This window comes from Homo sapiens, chromosome 12 (genome assembly GCF_000001405.40).
Source record: "Homo sapiens chromosome 12, GRCh38.p14 Primary Assembly".
NCBI lineage: Eukaryota > Metazoa > Chordata > Mammalia > Primates > Hominidae > Homo > Homo sapiens.
This window is the reverse complement of record NC_000012.12, coordinates 28,110,850-28,134,660: the sequence shown is the minus strand read 5'-3', so window position 1 is coordinate 28,134,660 and position 23,811 is coordinate 28,110,850. Positions and strand designations below refer to the sequence as shown.

At 35.0% G+C, this 23,811-nt stretch overlaps 2 long non-coding RNA genes across 4 annotated transcripts in view, besides 1 other annotated feature; one reads left to right on the top strand and one right to left on the bottom strand.

Annotated features, from left to right (window-relative positions):
• Positions 1–86: 86 nt before the first annotated feature.
• On the bottom strand, positions 87–11,660 carry LOC107984462 (uncharacterized). The gene is made up of 3 exons (XR_001749450.2): positions 11,585–11,660; positions 1,329–1,409; positions 87–263 (listed from the first exon to the last, which is right to left on the bottom strand). It is a non-coding gene; the product is annotated as an uncharacterized LOC107984462 (long non-coding RNA).
• Positions 3,169–4,368: an enhancer, noted in NCBI's record as "BRD4-independent group 4 enhancer chr12:28283226-28284425 (GRCh37/hg19 assembly coordinates)". NCBI's record gives its function as "activates an origin of replication core promoter dependent on BRD2, P300/CBP, MED14 and CDK7 cofactors, and independent of BRD4, by STARR-seq in HCT116 cells {active_cell/tissue: HCT116}" and the evidence as "EXISTENCE:reporter gene assay evidence [ECO:0000049][PMID:35650434]".
• LOC105369710 (uncharacterized) overlaps positions 5,087–23,811 on the top strand; it is a 66,878-nt gene continuing 48,153 nt past the window's right edge. For all 3 annotated transcript variants that reach the window (XR_931461.3, XR_931462.3, XR_931463.2), the window contains exon 1: positions 5,087–5,188. This is a non-coding gene — a long non-coding RNA (uncharacterized LOC105369710). The remainder of the gene's footprint in view (positions 5,189–23,811) is intronic.

The window sequence follows — 23,811 nt, the reverse complement described above, 5'->3', positions numbered from 1 at the left end:
TATTCTGTCATATGAGCCTTTCTCTTTGCTGCATACTTCCTGCAGGGAATATTTCCTCAAAGAAAACTATACAAACAGGCCCCTTCTCCAGTTTATCTGCACCAAAAGTGCTTTTATTGTGTGTCCACACTTAGCAGGTTTGAGAAGAGGTCAAAGTAGTCTGCTCAAGCACCTCATGAATTCTTCGAGGGGTAGGTACAATTTTCCTTCCTTCTTGACAATTTTTCTTAATCTTCATCTCTTTGTTGCAGATTTTTTAGTATCTAATTATTAAGCAGAGAAAAGGCCATAGATAGTAACTGAACACAAATTTCAGGTTCTATCTCACATAAAACTTAACCCTTTCACTGTCAAAAGTTAATCTTTCTACACTACCAACCATAAAGACCAATGACTAGACCTCACATCTTCACTATCCAGGCCATTGATGAATAAAACAAACTCATATCCAGGGTTAAAGAACTGAAGCAAATCTAGAGGCAAGGCCAAGATGAAGAAGAAATTGGTGTTAGAGTGGAAAGAGCAGTAGACTGAGAGTCAGAAGCCCTGGATCCTGCTCCTTACCATTAAATCTAAAATATGACCTTGGGAAACGAACTTCCTTCCTTGACGTTGATATTGTCATTTGTAAAATAACAATAATGAATTAATAATAGTTGCTAACATTTAATGAGAACTCGTTAGAGATGTCAGGCACTGTTCTACACTTAAATGCATTAACTCATTTAATCTTTATAGTGGCATCATGTGTTTGGTGCTAATAATATCACCATTAACTAAGGCGCAAAGAGTTCAGTAACTTGCTCAAGTTCTGAAAGCTAGTAGGTGATAGCATCAATGTTACAGTTACATACCTAAAGTCCTTTTCAAGTCAAAAATTCTATTTTGTTCTAAATGTCTTTCCTCCTCACCACTGACAAAATCAACTCCAAACTCTCCTATTTATGAGTTTTGAAGGCATGCTTTATAGAGTTACAAAAAACTTTAGAATAAAAAAAACCCCAGCAATTAAAGCATTTTTATTTTGCATGTATAATTTCACATATTTCCTTTGGGAAATTTTACATAGTTGTAACAGGCCAACTTTTATTATAACTCAGAAATAAGAAAGCACAAAAGTATTTGGCATTGACTAGAAAAATATCTAAATATTCATATACTTTCATCTGGATGGAAAAGTAAGAGCTAACATTTATTAAAAGCTAAAATTCTTCTGAACACTGTTTAGAGCACTTTACGTATACTATCTCATTTAATCCTCACTTACTCATAAGGCAACAGCCTTGTGATATATCATCTCCATTTTACAGAGGGGATTAATAACTTACCCACAGCACACAGTGTAGCGAAAACTTTAGGATTTGAATCCAGTCACAGTCTTGACCCAAAGCCTCTTACTTAACTTCTGTCTGTGGAAGAAAAGTGAAATCATGAAAAATGGATTTTTGAAGTAAGGTAAACACCAGAGCCTGGGGAGTGCTGTATTAAGTATTTTAAATCCTGCTCAGAGGTTTAGAATGGCAAAATTAAGTCATGAACAAAAACCAGTCCATAATGACTACCGATCTTTGCCAATTTAAGCATATCATTAGAATTAAAATTAATTTTCCGTTATCTATGTCATCTAGGACTTGGAAAAGCACAAGGAATTCTAATTCTCAAAAGAAGCTCAGCCCTCACTTTAGTTAGTAGTTTCAGCCTTTTTCCTGACCAGACATTTTACAGAACAGCCTAGTTATTACAGCTTGTAAAATGGAATACTATGACATTTTGTGAGTTCTTTTTTCCTTTCTGACTTACGCTGCAGTATAAAATGACTTTGAAGTGGATAAAAGTGCGTTTAGAGAAAGAAAGGTTGAGGAGATACGTGTCCTGTGCCTGGACGCTATTTCAGAAGAATAATCAAGCCTAGTTAATTTGTTTGCCAAAATGTCTCTAAAATCTGTAACATATGAGATAATGTGTGAACCATTTTTCACTTTCCAATTTCTGCTTTAAAATGTGGAGAATTGAGTAAGTCTGAAGGCCGGTTACAGAATACCCTGGGTACACTGGCTAATAGATAAACCAAGTACATAGCAGCAAATGTGAGAAATGCAAGATAGGGTAGTATTTTCTTTTATCTAAGAAACCACAAGGTTTTCTGTTCTTCTGAAATATTTCATATTACCATTATGGAAGCACTGTTTCATGGTCACTGCAGCAAATAAGGTCAGGTTATTCTCTGCAGAGACATAAATATGCATTGCTGGAGACAGTTGGGTATCCTCTTTATAAGCACATTGACATAGGAAAGAATTTGTTTTTTTCAATAGGATGCTTCCATCAAATTCTTGCTATAAACATTTGATGTACTGTAGCAAATTAACATTTAAACACTGGGTTTATATGCTTTTTTGTTTGTTTTATAGCCACAAGGAAAACCCACCTTTTCTTAGCTTTTAGTATCATGAATCACAGACCTGTTATTTCCTCCTTCCCATCTACATTTTACCATTTTCAGACAAATAGCACTGTCTCCAGAAAAGCAGTAATTTCATTTTTGCCAGTTATGTTCTTTGTTCAGTTTCAATTTGACATCCCAGAATTATATAACTGAAAGGAACATTGAGAGATCATCTGTGCCAACCACCCCAGGAAGGCATCTTACAGTGTGCACCTACTTCATGGCTGGATAAGAGATTCTCTATTTGATAAATAGTCTCTTCCATTAAGATACCTATGTACATAAAGTGACCAATCAACAAGTACTTATTTTTGTTGCATGTAGAGAACTGTTACAGGTTTTATGGGAATCATTATAACAAACAGAAAAAAAATCTTATACCATAGTTTCCTTATCTATAAAATAGGGAGTGATACTCCTTACCTTACAGAATTGAGGTGACTTGCACATAAATCCACTGGAGTCGTTAGTACTATTAACCTATTTTGTAGATAAGGAATCTTAAAGTTCACAGAGGTTAAGTGCATCACTGTATTCTGCCCAATGTCATGAAGCAAGTAAGTGGCAAAGTCTTCATCTCGATCTTTTGATCTACAGGTTTTTTTTCTTCCAGTCTCTTGTTCTGTTTCTCCACCCACCTCTGAATACCTTATATTTACATAGCAGGACATATTTTATAAGTTTCTTCCACACACATTCTTATTTTGAGTAGATATTTTTATTTCACTAATGAAGAAACTGAAACATTGAGTAAATGGTTTGTCTGTGGTCATTTGGCTGGGGAGGCCGACCAGGTTTTAGACTCCTCTCTTCTGGGCCTGAATTAGAGAATTTTCCACTGCACCACATCAGTCAGCAGAGTTTACAATCTTACTTAGGAATCCACATAAACACACTTGAAACAAAGAAAAATTAAGTCTTAAAACTCTACACTACAAGTACTGGGGGAGATGAGTTCATGAGCTGAAGTGGTTTTTCAGTTTTCATACTTTCTCCATTCTTACCAGCTCTCTTCTCATTTTCTGAGGCCCGTACAGTTCAATTTTCTCCTTTCCCTACATCATTTCAGTCAATCTGTTTTGCCCTTGAACTTCATTTGACTTGTCTATTACATATTTCCAAGTGTAAGTATTACATTCCTTTCATCCTGGAACATGGTTGTCTTCACAAATGTTCAAATGTGCTTAGAACTATTTCTCTTTTTGTTAACATAGTGACGGATTGCTCATTATTTCACAGGGTTTACGTGTTCATACAGATTGTTAAATACCTTCCATGTTATTCCTCAGCTTATGTGGCTGTGCAGGAAGTTGTCAATGACTCAACCTTAGCTGCGTGCCAAGTACTAGAGCTGTGAGCAACCCCCATCTCTAACGGCGCGTCCTACGTCCTGCCTTTGCCTCCCACTGGAAAGCATATCTGCGGTGACCAGTCATATCTTGATTATTATTCCCCCAATGTTTTGGCCTAGCAGAAGGCCTTGTTCATTTTATAAGGCTGCCTTGTGTTCTTCCTAGTGGTGAAGTTAAGGCAAATAAAGAAGTGGCTTGAGCTGTGTGCCATTCTGGGGCCATGCTGCCTGGGCTCAATGAGCAGTTCTGCCAAAGCTTTGTGACCACTACTTAGCTACTCTGTGCCTCAGTTTCCTCATCTGTAAAATAGAAATAATAATTGTAGCTACCTCCTAGGATTATCGTATAGGTTAAATGAGTCAAAGAGCACAGGAGTCAAAGAGTTTGAGCAAATAAATGCTCAATGAATGTCATCTTCTACTGTGAAATTTTTTGTTAATCAGCGTAATATGGCTGGCATAATATAGGGAAGTTGATATATTTTATCAGCTCATTGAACCCTCCTGAGAACCTGAAAGACAAGTGTCACTATGACCATTTATGAGGCAGAGAGGATATTTGATTTGCCCAAATTATTATGACTAGAAAATGGTAGACTCAAAATATAATTCAAATTAGTCTGATTCTTGTATGCCAAATGATAACTGACAGCTGATATTTATTCAATGCTTATGACTCTTTTGTCTCTCATAACAATCCCTTAAAATTATATTACTATTATAATACACTTTTTACAGTTCAGGAAATTGAGGCTTAGTGAGTTCAAGTAACTTCTTAAAAATCAAGTCAATCTGACACTGATTCAAAATACAAAAATTTTTTGATAAGAAGAGCATCTCAAAATTAGATGGTTAAAATTGAGACAACTTGGTGATTTTTTTGATAAATAACTTCTATCTTTTGGAACAAAACATAATAGCAAGAAATAAAGCCTCTCTAATGGAGATTATATGTGAAAATATTATATATTGTAAGATTTAACAGGTCACCTGCAATTTAGTACATTTCTAAATGAAGTCTGAAAGAATCAAGTATTTCTTCCTCCAGATTATACCATAAACTGTATTTCATCAGTTCTAAGCACATTTTTTCATATTTTAAATTTTTCTAAATTAAGATACTCTTTAAAATTTTAACTGGAAAACTTTTCTCTTTAGTGATAAATAAGATAGCAAGCTTTTTATAGTCGATGACTTCTTCTTCTTCTTTCTTCTTCTTCTTCCTCTTTTTTAGATGGAGACAATCTTGATTATAGCTCACTGCATTCTTGAACTCCTGGCCTCAGGCAATGCTCCTGCTCCTGCCTCAACTTTCCAAAGTGCTGGGATTATAAGTGCACGCCATCATGCCCGACCTGACTTGATGACTTCTTAAGATTCAGTGAAGCCTGGTATTTTATATATTTATTTTCTATTATGTGATCTCATTATTAGGGCCTTCAAGTTTGTTTTTTATTTTAAAAAAAGCAAGCTCCTTGCTGGGGCCCATTAAGAAATGAGAACTCTCGCAAAAAATGCTTTTTTATTCATTCACAATGCTGCATATTTCACTGGTAGTTACAATAAATCACAAGCTGATAATTAATGGAGGGAAATATGTAAAGGGCTTTCCCTGGGCAGATTTAGGTGATTCTGTACAACAAAAATGTTAATCAAATGAGAAAGTCAGTATGCTGGTTGAACATTTCTTTTCTCAAAGATTCCTTTTGACTTCATGGAATTACAGTTCAAACATTTGCAAGCTCTTGTTTTTGAAAGATACTAATTACTGTCAAAATTCCCCTCCTCTAGTGTTCATTTAAAATTTCTTTTTCTCTGACCCAGTCTTTCAAATTTCCACCCCCAGTTTGACCTCAGGCTTTCATCCACCACTTGCAGACAAGAGTTTTATGGGCTTTTCCTGTCTTATTTGCTGGAAATAATTTTTGCTCCCCAGAAGAATATTCTTTCATCATAAATTTCTATCTGTTTGTTGTTTCTTTTCTGGATAATTAGGATAATAAGCATTTTTATTCTAGTCTTTTCATGGCTGAGACACCTATAACAAAAGACAGATTAACAAGAAAAAAGCATACATATTTATTTAAGTTTTACATAAAAGAGACTTCAGAAATGAAGACCCAAAAGAACAGGCAAATGTGCATTTTTATGCTTAGGTTTGAGACAAGGTGGATGGTTGTGGAAAAGTATGATTGGACAAAGGAGGTATGCTCTAATGGTAATAAACTGGGGGGAACTTAGCAAGGTCTGTTTGTTCATATTTTTCTCTGCATCCCTGGGTCATCAGAGATAAGGATGTTCTTTTCTTCTGGTATTAGAGAGAGCACCCTTCGCCTGAAGGTCTTATGACCTGCTTCAGGGTAGAAGGTAGAAGAGCGGGAGAAAGTCAGAGAGTGACTTTCCTAGATTTTCTGACCTGCTTCCGGCGGGAGAGATGAGGGGAGGGTAAAAGTGACCTTCCTGCTTCTGCTGTTTTCTCAAATGCCAACATGCTGTATTTTGGGGTTGCCCGTCCTAAACACCATCAATTGTAACAAATGTACCACACTAATACAAGATGATAGGGGAAACTGTGTTTGGGGAGTAGTGGGGGTGGAGGGTGTGTGTACAAGAACTTTTTGTACTTCCTGATGGATTTTTCTGTAAACCTAAAGCTACTCTTTGAAAAGTCTATTGGCTGAGTATGGTGGCTCACACCTGTAATTCCAGCACTTTGTGAGGCTGAGGCAGGAGGATCGATTGAGCCCAAGAGTTTGAGATAAGCCAATGCAATACAGTGTGACCTGTCTCTACAAACAGTTTAAAAATAAGCAAGGGTGTGCAGGTACACACCTGGAGTCCCAGTGGCAATCACACCATTGCATTCCAACCTGAGCAACAGAGTGAGACCCTGTCTCAATAATAAAAATAATAATAATAATGAAGTTTATTAATTCAAAAATACCTATTTTCCCAAATTGAAAATATAATATGGCCCATAGCTTTGTGACTTTTCAATTCAATCATCTTAGTTACCTTCCAGGAGCAAGCTTAGACCCAGTCATCCTAGAAGGGCACATTTTTTGTTGTTTAGGAAATTACCACAAAGGACTGAAAGAAGGAAACAATGCAGGTGATTCAATGTACAGCGTGCTCCCTTTCCTCACTGACTCAGTACCATTAGTGCTTATGTAGCACTTCATGTGCTTAGATTGCTTTATAATAGCTTAATAGCTGAGACTCGCAATACTTCTGTGAGGTAGGTGGTCAGCAAATACCTTGGTTAGAAGTTTCATTTGAACAACCTGATGCCCAGAATTGTTAATGGCATACCCAAGGTAGCAGTGAGTCAGAGAGTGAGGAGGGACGTAGACATGGGTGTATCCCCTTCTGAATGCCTTTTCTGTCTCATTGGCTTTTACCAGATCAGCTTGCTGGCAAACGGGTGTGTAACTATTAAAGTTCTGTTTTTAGGGGGTAGCTAATTAAGAAGATAAGGATGGTTGACTGACTCAACCATCCTTACCTTCTTAGGTTTCAGGGGGTTTTATGCACATGGCAGGTCTTTGAACCTCCATGTCTTTTGTTAGCACACGTTGCACTTGCCAATCACCTCAGCCAAATACTAGTAGAGAGAAGGTAAGCAGTAATCTCCATGGAAACAGTTTTTCTATAGACGAAAAACAAAATGGACATTGATGGAAAAACTCTTTCATACTTCCTTAAAAATGAAGGTGCTACTGTTATTGTTCTTACTGTCAAAGCAAGAATAGGCGGGGTCCATTCCAACTGTTATTCTCAATAATTCGTGTTTCTTTGGTACAAAGAGTACTGTAAAATGCAGTTGGTGGGGATATGCTGGAGTTCTTTTTCATAACCATAGAATTTTAATTCTGGATGTGTGTGCATTTTAGAGTCTAGAATTCTAGAGTCCTTTAGAATGAAGACTGTTATATTTTAAAAAGATAATTTTGTTATTCTACATTTGAAACCACTTGCTCATTTCTGAAAAAAATCAGATATTAAGGGGAAAAAGGTATAGATATGTAATTTTGCCTTTATTACATCTGGAGGGTACTTTTTAAATTTTTTTCCAGAGCTATTAAAGTGGAGGAAAATAAAAGATATTGGTCCTTAGATCATTGATATAAATCAGATAATCATCCTATCTGCATAATGGTCTCTTAGGAGGAATAGAGAATATGTATATTAGCATAAATAAATGAAACACCAAATGTGAAAGAATTAATTAGCAAACAAACACTGAAGTTGGAGAAAAATCTGTGTTGAAGGCTGACAAAGTACTCAGGGTTGAAATAAGGTCAGACAGAGGCAGACCTATTCAATACAATGTTTTCTGTTTTTTGTTTGTTTGTTTGTTTGTTTCTGGGAAGCAAACAGGAAAGTTTGCATGAAATCATTTTACATGAAATGATACTGGGTTTACATTTTTTCAAAGAACAGTTACTTATGGAGCACCCACTATATACAAGGTTGTGTGTCTATGTGTTACGGTAGATACAAAGATAACTTCTTTTTTTCTTAGATAGGGTTTTCTCTGTTGCCCCAGCTGGAGTGCAGAGATACTATCATAGCTCACTGCAACCTTGAACTCCTGGGCTCAAGCAATCCTCTTACCTCAGCCTCCCATGTAGCTGGGACTACAGGTGTGTGCCACCATACCCAGCTCAAAAGTAAATTCCTACCAAGGTATTTGTAAGCTAGTAACATAAAATTTTTCTGAATAATGGAAAATTATAAACAAGGAGCACCTTTATTATAGCACTGAAATTTAATATATCTTTGTTTTGTGATTAATGATGCTAATTCATGTATAGGATATTTAGAAGTTAAAAATTTTATAATTTTCTTCTTAAAGGAATGCCTTATCACAGCATAGTTACACAACCCTTTAAAAAACCAATGTGGGCCAGGCACGGCCAAGGTGGGCAGATCAGGAGGTCAGGAGTTAGAGACCATCCTGGCCAACATGGTGAAACCCTGGCTCTACTAAAAATACAAAAATTAGCTGGATGTGGTGGTGCGTGCCTGTAATCCTACCTACTCGGGAGGCTGAGGCGGGAGAATCACTTGAACCCAGGAGGCAGAAGTTGCAGTGAGCTGAGATCGCATACCTCCAGCCTGGCGACAGAGTAAGACTCTGTCTCAAAGAAAAAAAAAAAAACGAAACAAATCGAAACAAAAAACAGTGTGATCAACAACTAAATCTGAAGTACCTATAATTACCAAGGCAGCAATTAGCTTAAAAAAAAAACAAACATATAAGGGATCTCAACACACATTTATATATTTTTATTTCATCTACACAATTAGATTTCAATTATTTCAATATTTTGTTGCAAAAATTGACAAATCTCTAAATCTTGAATTTGATGTTGCAACTTTTTCTTTATATGATGAAAGAAATAATTTTATAAGTGCTTCATAATTAAAACAGAAACATATTTTGGAAATTGAAAAAAAGGAAAAAAATACCTGTGTTACTATTTCTGGGCCATGTAATAATGAAGACTAATGGCATATTATTTTTCAGTTGAAAGCTAAACATAGTGTAAGATTAACAAACCATGTCATCATCAATTTTTAATCTAGAGTACCGTTTTAATTAACCAAGAAAATAGTATTGCAGTTACCTGAAATAAGAACTTTCTAGTCACTAGTTTCTAAATAAGAATGGGAAAAAAAATTACTGTACATGGTAACCAAAAGAAAGTAAATGCTTTTAAAAAGTTGTTTATTTTCTCATAATAGAAATCTTTATTCCTTTAATTTATTCTATTGTTAAGGTCCTTTTAAAAGGAGTCTCCTTTAAAGGCTGAGCACTTTGAAAGCTACAGCAAACCAGATGCTTGAAGCATTTCAGTTTTGCTTATTTTGGACTATACATGATGTGTGAATATCTTTTTTTTTCTTTTCTAATCTGAAACACAAAAAGTACTAGAGATCCTTTTGTTATCAGTATGCATCAGAATTTGAAGAAAGTTAGACATAAAATATTTCTTGGAAGAAGAGTAAACAGGTTATGCCAGTTAAAACAAGCCAAGGAATTTAGAACTACAGTATTTGTAATGTTATTAGTAAATTGGGCAGCCCATGGGGTGAAACCCATAATCAAAATGTTTGCAGTATACTGAAAAAGAGAGAGGAAGATATTGAAAGAAATGTCATATTTTCACTGCGTGTGGATGTTTTCAACAAAGCTAGGAGCTTTGTGCCCAAGCCAGTTGGCATTCTACCCTATCTGTATAGAATTCTGTGGCACTTCTTAAGCCATGAGAAATTTGATTAAGCATTATGTGTGTTCCTTACAGCAAGAAATTCTCTCGCCTGCTATAAGTCAGCTGTTTTCATCCAATTTTCTAAAGAAGAGAAACTATCAAAATAAAGGCTCACTTTGTTCAATCAAGAATTAAACCCACTCTCACCATTACAAACACGGGAAAAAAAATTCAACCTGACCTTTCCTTTTTACTGTTTATACCCTGGGGTTTGAATTTGATTCTTCTTGATCACTTTGAGGATGTCAAAGTATACTCTTCAAAGGTATAAAATGATTGATATATGGTATTCACAATAGACTGTTTTAGGTAATACATGTATGTAGTAATTCATTTTAAACATTCCTTTGATAATTAAAGCCTCATTCTTACAGAAAACACGTAGAAATAGGGTATCACAAAGAACTACTGTTATAATTTCTGCCTCTTCTGGCATACATCTCTTTTAAGAGTTATTATTCACTAACTGTATTGATTTCTTACAAATGTGTTTTATATTTTTTTACTTCCCTTCTCATTTCATTATTTTGTATTTAATTATTTTTAAAAATATTTTTTGGCCTCATGTAGAAACTGCTTTTCTGTTTTGATGTTACCTTCTTACTCGTCTAATTTTATCTTAATTATGCTTGAAGATTTTGTGTTTTTTGTATCTTTAGGTTTATTGTTGTCAGTGACTTTTTTGCTGTTTTCCAAATTTCATAAAAAGAAATAATGTACAATACGTGAGAGGAGTACCTCCGATGAAAATTCTCTAAGTAAGGATGGAGATTTTCATATTTCAGAAGAAAGAAAAAAGCAACCTAGCTTAAAAATTTGTTTAAATTGACTCTGATTATAGTTGTTAAGGAATGGAAAAAATCAGTAAGAATTAAAGACCTTCATGATTTTGACCCATTTTTTACATGGAACCACGTCAAACCTATCCGAGAGGAGCAAAAGGAAGAGGAAAGGAATAGAAAACATTCAAATGTGCCATAAAAATGAACATACTTTTTATTTGGTAGGCTATACACTCAGCAGGAAATGCTCTTAAAAAGATAAAACCAAAATTTATAAACCAGAGTTAGGCCAGGAGTATCACCTACAGGTTTCAATAATTGTGTTGAAAAGCTTAACATGAATTTCCACTTCTTTATAGTTAAAAGGGCATTGTCTCCATGAGAAGGAATCTGAGGAAAAGCTGCCGAAGTGTGGCTTTCTGTCTTGACACTGATTCACAGGAATATTGCAGCAGCCCTCTGCCTGACTCCAAATTCAAGATCACAGTTTCCTCTTTTCACTAGACTTTACATACTGTATGCATATTAAATATTTACAGTGGGTACCTTTTAAAAGGATCTCTTTTAAAAACAATAAAGTAAACAACATTCCAAGTTAATGCAACTTAGTATTGCTGAATAAATATGTTTTGTCATACAGTTAAAAAAAAATTCCAGTAGTGTTTATTTAAAAAAATTAGAGAGACAAATCTAACAATGAGGTTATTTCATTATAATCAGTAGTTACCTCAGTAGGAAGAAGGCATACCACTGCTTCCCTGCCTCACTTTCTTGGAACTCCTCTTCCTTTCAGAGGTGCTCTGGGGGTGGAAATCAGATGGAGGTTAGCAGTGGTATGACAGTTTGGCCAACATTAAGGCTTTTGTGAGCGATATACTGTCACTAGGGTCACACTATTCTCAGAAGGTAAGTAACCCAATGGACTGGCGGTAACATAAACTTTCCCCATATTTCCATGTCAGGAAAGGGCAATTAGTGGCGGGGGCAGGGGGGTCTGCTTTTGTCCCTGAAAGGTCTGTCTATAGAAATACTATCATAGTGACCACCCCACCCAGCTGAATTGGTTCACCAGGTCATCCTTTACTGACACAAGTTATGCAACTACCCTTTAATATTTCCTTCTCTTCTGATAGCAGAATTCCTCTTATCCTTGATTTTATATCCTTCACCTATTATAGACACTTGAATTTCTTCTAATCAATTCATACTGCGTATACTTCTTTAATCTTCCTGTCAGAGTCAAATCCATCTTTCTGTCTTTCCTTCTTTCTTTTCCTTCATTTCCTTCCTTCATTCCCCTTCCTTCCTTACTTTCCTTCCTTCCCTCCTTTCTTCTCTCTTTCTTTCTTTTCTTTCTTTCTTTTTCTTTTCTTTTTTCTTTCTTCTCCCTCTCTCACCCTACCTATCCATCCCTTCCTGACTTCCTCCTCCTCCTCCTCTCCCGCCTCCTCCTACCCCCCTCCTCATTCTTCTGCTTCTTTTGGCTCAACTTTCTTGTTTTAAACAGAATTCATGAGCAAAGACTAGATAGTCTGAAATCTTTCAGAAGCCCTTTTGTTGATTCATGAAAAATACTGTCTTCAGCAGTGAATTAATCCTTTGGAGTTACTACTTTCATTTCTGTCATTAATAGTGTTTATTTGTGTAACTCGAGGCTAGTCTGTTTAAAATCTATGAGGATTTTTCTAACTGACTCAAATAGGTACCATTCAGTGAATGTTTACTTGGTAGTACATGCTTCTCATGTTTTTTCTCTAGTTCTTACATTAACCCTGCAAGGGAGAATACATTATTAACATTTTACGAGTAAGAAAACAGAAGTTTCTAGAAGTTAAGTACATTGCTTCAAGCAGATTAAATAATAATATGTGTCATACAGAAAAAAATGTATAAATATGGACCACATACATATTTGTTAAACAGAACATACCTAAGACATAGTTACTAGGAGGTGAAACTAGAATTTTGAAGTCTCTGTTCTTTCTGCTACAACATGTAGCTTTTAAGACCTACATCAGAAAGAACCAAAGAAACTAATCAAGAACCATGCCAAAAAAAATGCAACCGAAATGGATTTATTTGATCTTGCTTTAAAAAATAAAATATAGGTCAGCTCTACTGACCTGGAACTGTTTTTAGCTTGTATCATTTTCTTTAAACAAACAAAATAAACAAACAAAAACTGATGCTAACTGTAGTGTGTCATAATGATGTAAAACCCAAACCAAAAATCTGTGCATGCAGGAATGATTAAATGTGAATAAACAAAATGTATTAACCTTTCAACAGGAATTATCTTTAAGTGACTATGGATCTTTTATTTATTTTATACTTTCTATTTTCCTGTATTTTCCAAATTTTCTATAGTAAGTATGAGTTGCTTTTCCAAGGAAACAGATCTTCAGTAAAATTAATTGGTAGGTTAAATTAGTGAAAAAGAAAAAAAAAAAGTTTTGCTCTTATCAGCTTACATTTTTACCATGAGATTAAAAAAAAAAAAGCAACTACATAATATCAGGTGATTGTGTACCGTGTTTGTAAAAAATATTTTAATCAGGGCTTAGAGAGTTTAGGAACCCCCTGCCATGACAAGCATGCTACCTGTTCGAAGAAAGAAAGAAAAAGTCTTGACTGAGTTAAGCTTTGGAGTTTAATTACTATTTGAATGAAGAATTAAGACTTTAAAACCCAGTTGGGCATTAAGTCATCAAGGCCTCTGACACACTGTTTTAATAAAGCTCCTGAAGTTGATGCCACACAGGAAACAGGAGCAAAAAAAACTCAACTCAGTGAATTCCAGTATTGAATTTGTACTTTATGAAAACTGTAGCTTGCCTTCAGAATTTGAAGGAAGGGGAAATCTGTTCAGCTCATTTATTTTCGGATTTAAAAATTTCTCCACAGTCCTTCAAGGACAAGCCTCACCTTCTAAGTTTATTCCCAACTGAGAGGAACATATCCATTATAGGAAATTGTTTTATAACTTTGGTACTTCCAGTTTCCATCGTTTTAATTGAAATATATTTAATTTGAAAACTGTAGTGTCTGATTCTCCAACAAATCATCCTCCGTGAGGATAGTTAGGGTTTCTCAGATGTGCTTTAACGTTCATCCTGGAAACACATGGTAGACTGTGGACAATTATATTGTAGATGTAAAGAATAACTTGAGAAGTGTTAGTCTATTCATTCATTCACCAAACACTGCTTCATATGCTGAGAATATAAAGACAAATGTGTAATGGTCCTGGTCTTCAAGAAGCCAGGTGAGGGGCCAGAAGATACTGATTGTATTTGCATGGAGAAGTGGGACTGTTGTCCTGTGTCCTTTAAAAACCACCCAATTCAGTTCTCAATTTCTGGAAACCATCCTGGACTGGTATGGTTGTGTGTGTGTGTGTATACGCAATCATGATTTGCTTAATGATGGGGATACATTCTGAGAAATGGGTCATTAGGTGATTTTGTCATTGTGCAAATATCGTAAAGTGCCCTTACACAAATCTAGATGGCGTAGCCAACTACATACTTAGACTGTATAGGATAGCCAGTTGCTCCTAGGCTAAAAACCTGTAGAGTGTGTTACTGTACTGAATACTATAGGCAATTGTGACACAATGGTATCTAAAGATATCTAAACATAAAAATGGTACAGTAAAAATAGGGTATAAAGGCTGGGGGCGATGGCTCACGCCTGTTATCCCAGCACTTTGGGAGGCCGAGGCAGGAGGATCACCTGAGCTAGGGAGTTCAAGACCAGCCTGACCAATATGGTGAAACTCTGTCTCTACTAAAAATACAAAAATTAGCTGGGCTGTGGTGGCACGCACCTGTAGTCCCAGCTACTCAGGAGGCTGAGGCAGGAGAATTGCTTGAACTCAAGAGGTGGAGGTTGCAGTGAGCTGAAATCATGCTACTACATTCCAGCCTGGGCAATAGAGGGAGACCCTGTCTCAAAAAAAAAAATAGGGTATAAAATTAAACATGGTACCCCTGTATAGGGCACTTAACCAAGAATGGAGCTTGCAGGACTGGAAGTTGCTCTGGGTGAGTCAGTGAGTGAGTGGTGAGTGTATGTGAAGGCCTAGGACATTATTACATACTACTGTAGGCTTTATAAACACTGTACACTTAGGCTACACTAAACTTATAAAAACAATTTTCCTTTCCTAATAATAAATTAACCTTAGCTTACTGCAACGTTTTAACTTTATAAACTTAATTTTTTTTAACTTTTTGACTCCTTTGTAATAACAAACATACACATTTGCCTAGGCCTACACAGGTCAAGATCATCAATATTGTCTTCCACCTCCACATTTTGCCCTAATGGAAGGTCTTCAGAGGCAATAACATTCATGGAGATGTCCTCTCCTATGATAACAATGCTTTCTTGTGGATAGCAAGGACCTGCCTGAAGGACCTGAAGGACGTGCCTGAGGCTATTTTACTGTTAACTATATATATAAAAAATAATATATAATATATAATATGTGACATTAGATATATATTTAAATATATAGCTATATTGTATATTATATATACATATATATTTTTACTATATATTATATATAAGCATACTATATATTTATATATCAAATAGACAGAGTACACTCTAAAATAATGATAAAAAGTACAGTATAGTAAATACATATGTCAGTTACACAGTGGTTTATTATCGTTTTCAAATACTAGGAAGTGTACATCATTGTAGGTGCTACACTTTATATGACTGGCAGCCCAACAGGTGTGTTTACACCAGCATCACAACAAACACGAGTAATATGTTATGCTACAATGTTAAAAGTTTTCAGCTGCATTATAATCTTATTATAAATGCCATCTGTCATTGACTGAAATGTCATTATGTGGCACATGACTGCGTGTGTACATATATATGGGCTTATAAACATAAAAAAGATACTGAAACATATACATGTTTATTTATACACACACATAAAACTCAAACTTTTTCTTAAGTTATTACATTGGGAACCCTCTGGGGAGGGTTGACTTATCAGGTAAAGAATTTATGGAAGAGTACAAAATAAAAGTACATAGTAAAAATACTTTTTGTACTTGTTTTATTTTTTATTTTATTTATTTATTTTGCGACAGAGTCTCTCTTTGTTGCCTAGGCTGGAGTGCAGTAGCATGATCTCAGCTCACTGTAGCCTCCACCTCCTGCCTCAGCCTCCCAAGTAGCTGGGCGCACCCAGTGCGCACTATTATGCCCAGCTAATTTTTGTATTTTTAGTAGAGACAGGGTTTTGCCATGTTGGCCAGGTTGGTCTCGAATTCCTGGCCTCAATTAATCTGCCAGCCTCGGCCTCCCAAAGTGCTGGGATTATAGGCATGAGCCACCATGGCTGACCTGATATTATTTTATTTTAAAAATGAATAATGTAGTCAACGGCCACAAAAGAGCATACAGTAAATACAAGTCTCTCTCATTGCCTTGTCCGTCAAACACAACAGGCACAACTGGTAGCAATTTGTTGTTATTCTTCCAGAAAGATGGTATGCCTGTAAAAGCATAAATGTATAAAACAAATAATAGGATACTATACACTCTGTGAAGCGCTTTGCTTTTTCACCTCATTAAATTTAAAAAAATATGTTGAAACATTTCAAACACACAAATGAGAACATACTGCTTCATATTACCAGGCAGGCTGTGGACACAGCTCCACAGGATACCCTTCACATTGACTATGATGTGAATAGTTCTGTCTGAGGTAGGGCAGCCCTCTGCTGAAAATAGCAAAACATGAATCCCCTTGCATCTATTCACCACCCAGCTGTATGAAAGCAAAAGAAAATGCCAATGTTTGCTCCAGTTTTTTGAAAACTTAACAGATACGGTTGAGATTGTTTGAGTATTCCTTCCTGATTTCATTATTGTCTTGCCATCCCACCATAGTCATAGATTTAGTGTTTTATAAGACCCATGGATAATTTATATATTTACTAGACACATATATCTATCAATGTAGATAGTACTACATAATGTGCCTATATTTGCTGGTATCAAAAGTTTACATAAATAGTATATTACTGAATGTATCATTCCACAACTTGCTTTTTCAGTCATCTTACTTCTTTGATATTCATCTTCACACAAGCATCTCTAGTGCACATTTTAAATGCTATATAGAATTCCACTATATGACTATATCACAATTTCCTAATCTATATCTTATTAAATGACATTTCTGTTTTTAAATATTTTTCATTAGAAACCATGCTGCAATAAACATTGTTACACCAATTTCCTTCTGCACATATGAACTTTTCCTAAAGTTCTAAATCTAGAAGTAGAATTGCTAAGTTGGAGAGTATGAACATCATCAACTTTATGATATTTCAAATTGCTCTCCAAAGTAGTGGTACCAATTCACATGCTTACTAGCAGTATATGAGAGCTATTGTTACTCTAAACCATAACAACTCTTGATACTGTTAGAATTTAAATTTTGCCAAGTGGAGATGATGTCTAACTGTTCTTTTTCATCTTCCTAATTATTAGTAGGGTGAGGATCTTTCCATATGTTTATTATTCATTTACTTATCTCTTGAATTGCCTGTTCACATTTTGCTTATTCTTTAGCATTTATATGAGTTGTGAATCTCTTTTCAAAGGATATGGTTTATTTTTTCACTTTATGTTTTGTATCTTTGTTGAACGCAAGAGTTTAAAAAAAATCTTGGTGTCATCAAATTTACCAACATTTTGCTCTACTTTTTGTGTCTTGTCTAAGAAATTTTTCCACATATAAACGTTATGAAGATAGTCCATATATTTTTTTTGTTTTACCAAAAGCTGTTTTAACATTTAGATCTTTAATCCATCTGGAATTTATTTTTGTATATGGTGTGAGAATGGGATCCAATTTTATTTTATTTCTTCCATATGGTTAAGCAATTGTTCTAGTACCATTTATTGACTAGTCCTGCCTTTCCTCACAGACTTATAGTGCCACGTTGGTCATATTTCAAGTTTGCACATATGCAAGTATCTGTTTCTGGGCTTTCTATTATGTTCCTTTGGTTTATTTGACTCTTCCTGTGCCAATACCACACTGTCTGCTTTTCCATAGCTCTATAAATTCTTGATGTATTTGGTCAGGCCAATTTCACCCTGCCCCCAGCTTATTCTTCTTCAGATTTTTTGACTCTTCCTGATTCTTTGTGCTTCCATATTAATTTTAGGATTCACTTGTCAAGTTCCATAAAGTCTCTTTTGAATTTTGGTTAAAATGTTATTAAGTTTCTAGAATATTGTGGGGGAGGGGACTAACATATTTACAATTCATGAATGTAGAAGTGTATCTCTGTATCTAATTATTTTTGTTCTTCAAAAACATTTTATTTTCCCCATAGACATCTTAACCATCATATATTAGGTCTATCCTTAGGTATTTTATAGGTTTTTTTCTATTTGATTTTGTAGCTTGTTATTATTGTTTTGTTGAAATGACAATCATTTTGGTATGTTGACTTGAGTCTAATAAACTTCCGAAGCTTTCTTATTCATTCCAGTAGTTGAAAAGCACTTGGATTTTCTTTGTTTCAAATAACATTGTTTAAAATGAGAACAATTTTATTGCTTCTCTTTCAAATCTTACATCACTTAATCCCTTTCTTCTTGAATTGCGTTAGATGAGAGCTTCAACATACTACTGACCACAAGTAGTTATAGTAGTATCCTTTTCTTGCTGCTAGGAACACTTAAAATTTCACATTTAAAGGGTGATATCTCTAGGTTTTCTCATAGATATTCTTTCTTAGGTACTCTTCCTATTTTGACTGAGCCACACGGTATCAAGACATTTTGGTCAAACATTTTCCTGGGTGTGTCTATGAGGGTGTTTCTGCATGCAACTGATATATTTGGATTAGTAGACTGAGTAAAGCTGATTGCCCTCACTAATGTGAATGGGCCCCATCTCATCAGCTGAAGGCCCAAATAGAACAAAAAGGCTAACCGTCCGCAAGTAAGAGGTCACTCCTCCTGCCTGACTGCTTTCAAACTGGGACATCAGTGTTTTTCTGCCTTGGGACTCAAATTAAAACATTGGCTCTTCCCAGGTCTTAAGCCAGCAGCCTTCAGACTGGAATTACACCATCAGTTTTCCTGAGTCTCCAGCTTGCCAACTGCAGATCTTGGGACTTGTCAGGCTCCGTAATCGCATGAGCCAATTCCTTATAATAAACCTATCTCTCTCTCTCTCTTTCTGTCTCTCTCATTGGTTCTCTTTCTCTGGATAGCCCTAACTAATATATTTGCAAACGTATCATATCCACAAATCAATTCAATCATTCTTACCACTGCAACTACCCTAGTACAAGCCGCCAAGTAATTTCATCTGAGATACTGCCATTCCCTCTTACCTAGTCTCATCTTCATGAGATTCATATCAATTATATTCACCCTAGTATAGATTATTATCTATATATTAGCCAGAGAGGTTATTTAAAAGACAAATCAGGAAGGGCACAGTGGCTCACACCTGTAAACCCAATATTTTGGGCAGCTGGTGGGGGAGGATAGCTTGAGTCCAGGAGTTCGGGGCCAGCCTAGGCAATATAGTGAGACATCGTCTCTACAAAAAAATAAACTTAGCCGGGTGTGATGGCGTGCACCTGTAATCCCAGCTACTCAGAAGGCTGAGGTGGGAGGATGCTTGAGCCCAGGAAGTTGAGGCTTCCGTGATCCAAGACTGTACCACTGCACTCCAGCCTGGGCAACAGAACAAGACCCTGTCTCAAACAAACAAAAGCAACACATACACAAACCAGATCATGTCACTCCTCTTCTGAAAACCCTCCAAAGTTTTCCCATCACATTTAGAATAAAATCCAAAGTCCTTACTTTGGGATACAAAATCCCACATGATCTGAGTTCTAGCAATCTCTCCCATCTCATCTCTTTTCTCTTGCTCAACCCTGCCATCCACATCACTGCTCCTCATGCCTGCCAAGCAGGCTTCTAAATGTTCTTCCTTGATCCTTGATCCAAGCAAAATCTTGTCTTGTCGTTACTGCACTCACATTTCTCTCTGCCTGATGTGCTCTCTCACTGAAAATATGTGTGTCTCACTCCCTCACTTCAGCCAGGTGTCTGCTCAGAGTAGCATGCTTCATCACATTCTATCTTATTACTTGGTTTTGTTGCTCTTTGGAGCAGTTATTGCCTCATGACATTATACAGTTTTTCTGTTTATTTGATTATTTTCTGATTCACCCACTTGAATACAAAGTCCATGAGTCAGAGAATTTTTCCATTTATTTAGATGTTATATCCCCAATGCCCGAGGTAATGCCTAACACATAGTAGGCACTAAATCAGTGTTTGTTAAATAAATAAATGCATCAATTTTATTATTTTTTCTGCATTTTCCTGCATCTATGATTTGATTATGTGCTAATATGGTTGATAGGTTTTCTGACATTAAAACAGCTTTACATTCTTAGAACAAATACTACTAGAATATGATGTGTATTTTTAATACATAAAAGAACTCAATTTGTTAATATTTTATTTTAAATTTTTGATTTTATATTCACATAAGAATTATGCTACAGTTTTCTTTTTATCGTGTCCTTACCTAGTTTGAGTGTCAACGTGTCAACAGCATATTAGCCTCACAAATTAAGCCAACCAGCTTTTCTTCTTCTTTTTTTTTTTTTGAGACGGAGTTCAACCTCCACCTCCCAGGTTCAAGTGATTCTCCTGCCTCAGCCTCCCGAGTAGCTGGGATTACAGGAATGAGCCACCATGCCTGGCTAATTTTGTATTTTTAGTAGAGATGGGGTTTCCCCATATTGGTCAGGCTGATCTCGAACTCCTGACTTCAGGTGATCTGCCTGCCTCAGCCTCCCAAAGTGCTGGGATTACAGGCATGGGCCACTGTGCCCGGCCGCTTTTCTTCTTTTTTTAAAATCTGAAATGTAATTATTATAAAAGAGCAGATTTTTATCTTTAGAAAGTTTGATAAAACACACATGTAGGCTGTCTTGGCTTACTGTTTGGGGGCAGAAGACTCCTAACAATTTAATTTATTTCATAGTTATTGGTTTATTAATGTTTTCTATTTTTTCTCCAGTCAATTTTGGTAACTTCTATTTTCCTAGGAAATTATCATTTCATCTAAATTTTCTATTGGCACAGTATGTTCCTATTATTTGTAATATCTGTAATATCTATATTTGTTTCCTTTTATTACCAATTACTTGTCCTTTTTATTTTCAGGAAGCTTTCATCAAAGCTCCAGCTTTTAGCTTTATTATTTCTCTCTATTGTTTATTTTCTACTTATTAATTTATGTTCTTTGTTATTTCCTTAGAGTAGATATATGTTTTTGTTTTCTTTGTTATTATTTTTCTAACTTTCTGAGTTTAACACTTAACTGATTTATTTTAAGTCTTTTCATTAATTCTGTTAAAGGTTCTATTTTTGCCATCATGTACTTTGCTGTATCCCTCAGTATTATTTTCATTGTTATTTATATTTAAATATTTTCCTAAAGCATAAAATATGTTTTAAAGTCCAAACATATATGGATTCTTTAAAACCACTGTTCAATGTTGATTTCTTATTTATTAGGTTGGTGCAAAGGTAATTGCGGTTTCTGCCATTACTTTCAGTGGCAAAAGTAATGGCGGTTTTTGCCATTACTTTCAATGGCAAAAACCACAATTAGCATTGTGGTCACAGAATGTGGTCTGTATAACACTAATATCTTATAATTTATTGAGAAGTTCTTGGTGACCTAGAACATGATCAATTTTTCAAAATTAATATTTCATATGTACTTGAAAAGAATGTATATTTTTATTTGGGGGGTATAGAGCTACATAAATTTCTTCAGCTGAAGCAACTCTAACCCTTTTATATTTTGTCTGTTGAATATCATTTTAAATTATGTTGTTAACTATATAGAAGTTCATAACATACATTCTTCATGGATCATTACTTTCATTACTATGTGATGTAAGTCTTCCTTTCTATTAGTACTTTTTGCTATAAATTCTATCTAGCCTGATACTAATATTAATACAGCAGCTGTCTTTTGTTTAATAATTGCATGCTGTATATTTTACAATATCTTCAACTCATCTCATTAAGAAGCTACGAGACTTGTCTCATATGGCTAATGCACAGACACACTAAGATTTGACCCCAGGCAATCTTACACAGGTCACATTCAACTCCTAAACTATGCCATCTCCTGGAATGGGCTTCTAATCTGGGATTCCAGTAGGCCCATAACTTCTGTCATTTTCATTCTATTGAATTTCTTTTTCACAGAGATGTTTATCCTGTGTTTGATACTTTCTATGTCTTTTTGTTTGTCTCATTATTTTTTATGTATCATTGCCATGTACTTCTTGAACTGTTCTATACAGACTTTGCTTAATATTTCTGGAGATTGCTTCATAACATTACATACAGAGCTGCCTCATTATATTTAATGACTGCATAGTATTTCGTTGTATATGTTATAAAATTTATTTAATTAGTCCCATAAAGATGTGCATTCGGGTTATTTTCAATATTTTGCTATTACCAACAACACTGAAATAAATACCCTTGGACATAAGTAGTTTGCAAACATTGGAGTATTTTTGTAGAATAATTTTCTAACAATGAATTGGTAGGCCAAAGATTATAGGCACTTCCTATTTTATAGATATTTCACAATTGTTTTCCATAAGTTATACTCCCAAAAGCAGTGTATAAAAGTTTATATGTCCCACACTTTCTCACCAATTGTATAACTTCAAACTCTTTGATCTTTGTTAATCTGATAAGTTAAAAAAATGGTATATCACTGTTTTTTCATTTCTTATTAGTGAGACTGAGCATGTTTTCCTCAGTCATTTGTCTTTTAACAAGTTTAAGTTTGTCTTTTCTGTTAGTTGCTGGTTTACATTTTCAGTGTTTTAAATATTTAAATCTATACTGACAAATATACTCTCCCTTGCATTTTCTAAGTTTGGGTTTGGCAGTTAAATGGAGCCAATGTACCATTCCAGTACTTTTTTTCCCTCTCTCCATTCAGTTCTTGGTTGACTAAAAATTTTCTTCCAGAGAATTTTCTCCCATTAATAAATAAATTTGGATAGGCATTAAATTCTTAGTTTATACTTTTTAAAAAGATCTTTGAAAGTATTTCTTTTTTCTGTTCTAGTATTCACTCTTTGTATAAACTTATTATCTTTTTGAATGGAAGCCCAAATATTTTTTCTTTATATTTAAAGCCCAGAAACTTTACTAGAATATGTCTCTGTGTTCATTGTTTAAAGTTATTTTTTTAAGGCCCTGCTATGTGCACTCCTTCAATCAACACATCTGAGGCTACTTATACTGCTATAAACTTTTCTTTAATTACATCTTTAAATATTTTTCTTCTTCCACAATTTATGTTCTTGAGGACAACATTCTTTTTAAGTTCGATATTCTGTATATTGGATCTTTCATATCTGTTTTCCACATCTATCATTTCCTTCTTAATTTTTTAAATCTCCTTTTAACTTTCTATTCTATTTTGCTCCCTTTATAATATTCCATACGTCTTACTGTGTTTTTAGTATGTCTGTTCTGTGTGCTGCTTCAAACATGGCCTTTATTTTTATGATGGTTTTATTTTTCCCTTTCACTTCTTTTGAGCTTGCCAGTCCAATTTTCATTGTATTCTGTTGCCTCACCCTATTTTCTACATTCTCGTGTCTATGCTTAGAATTCCTATTTTATAGAAGCATTAACTTCTTAACATTTAAAATTTCATGGTAAGTAACTTGCTCACAGTTTTTAAAGAACTCTGTAGAAATATTTATCTGGTGAGGGTTTATTACCTGCCATTCCTTTTCTTTTTTTTTCCTTATATCATATTTGGATAATTCTATGTAAGTTCTTTAAAAAAAATCACCTCCTATTTGAATGAAGTTA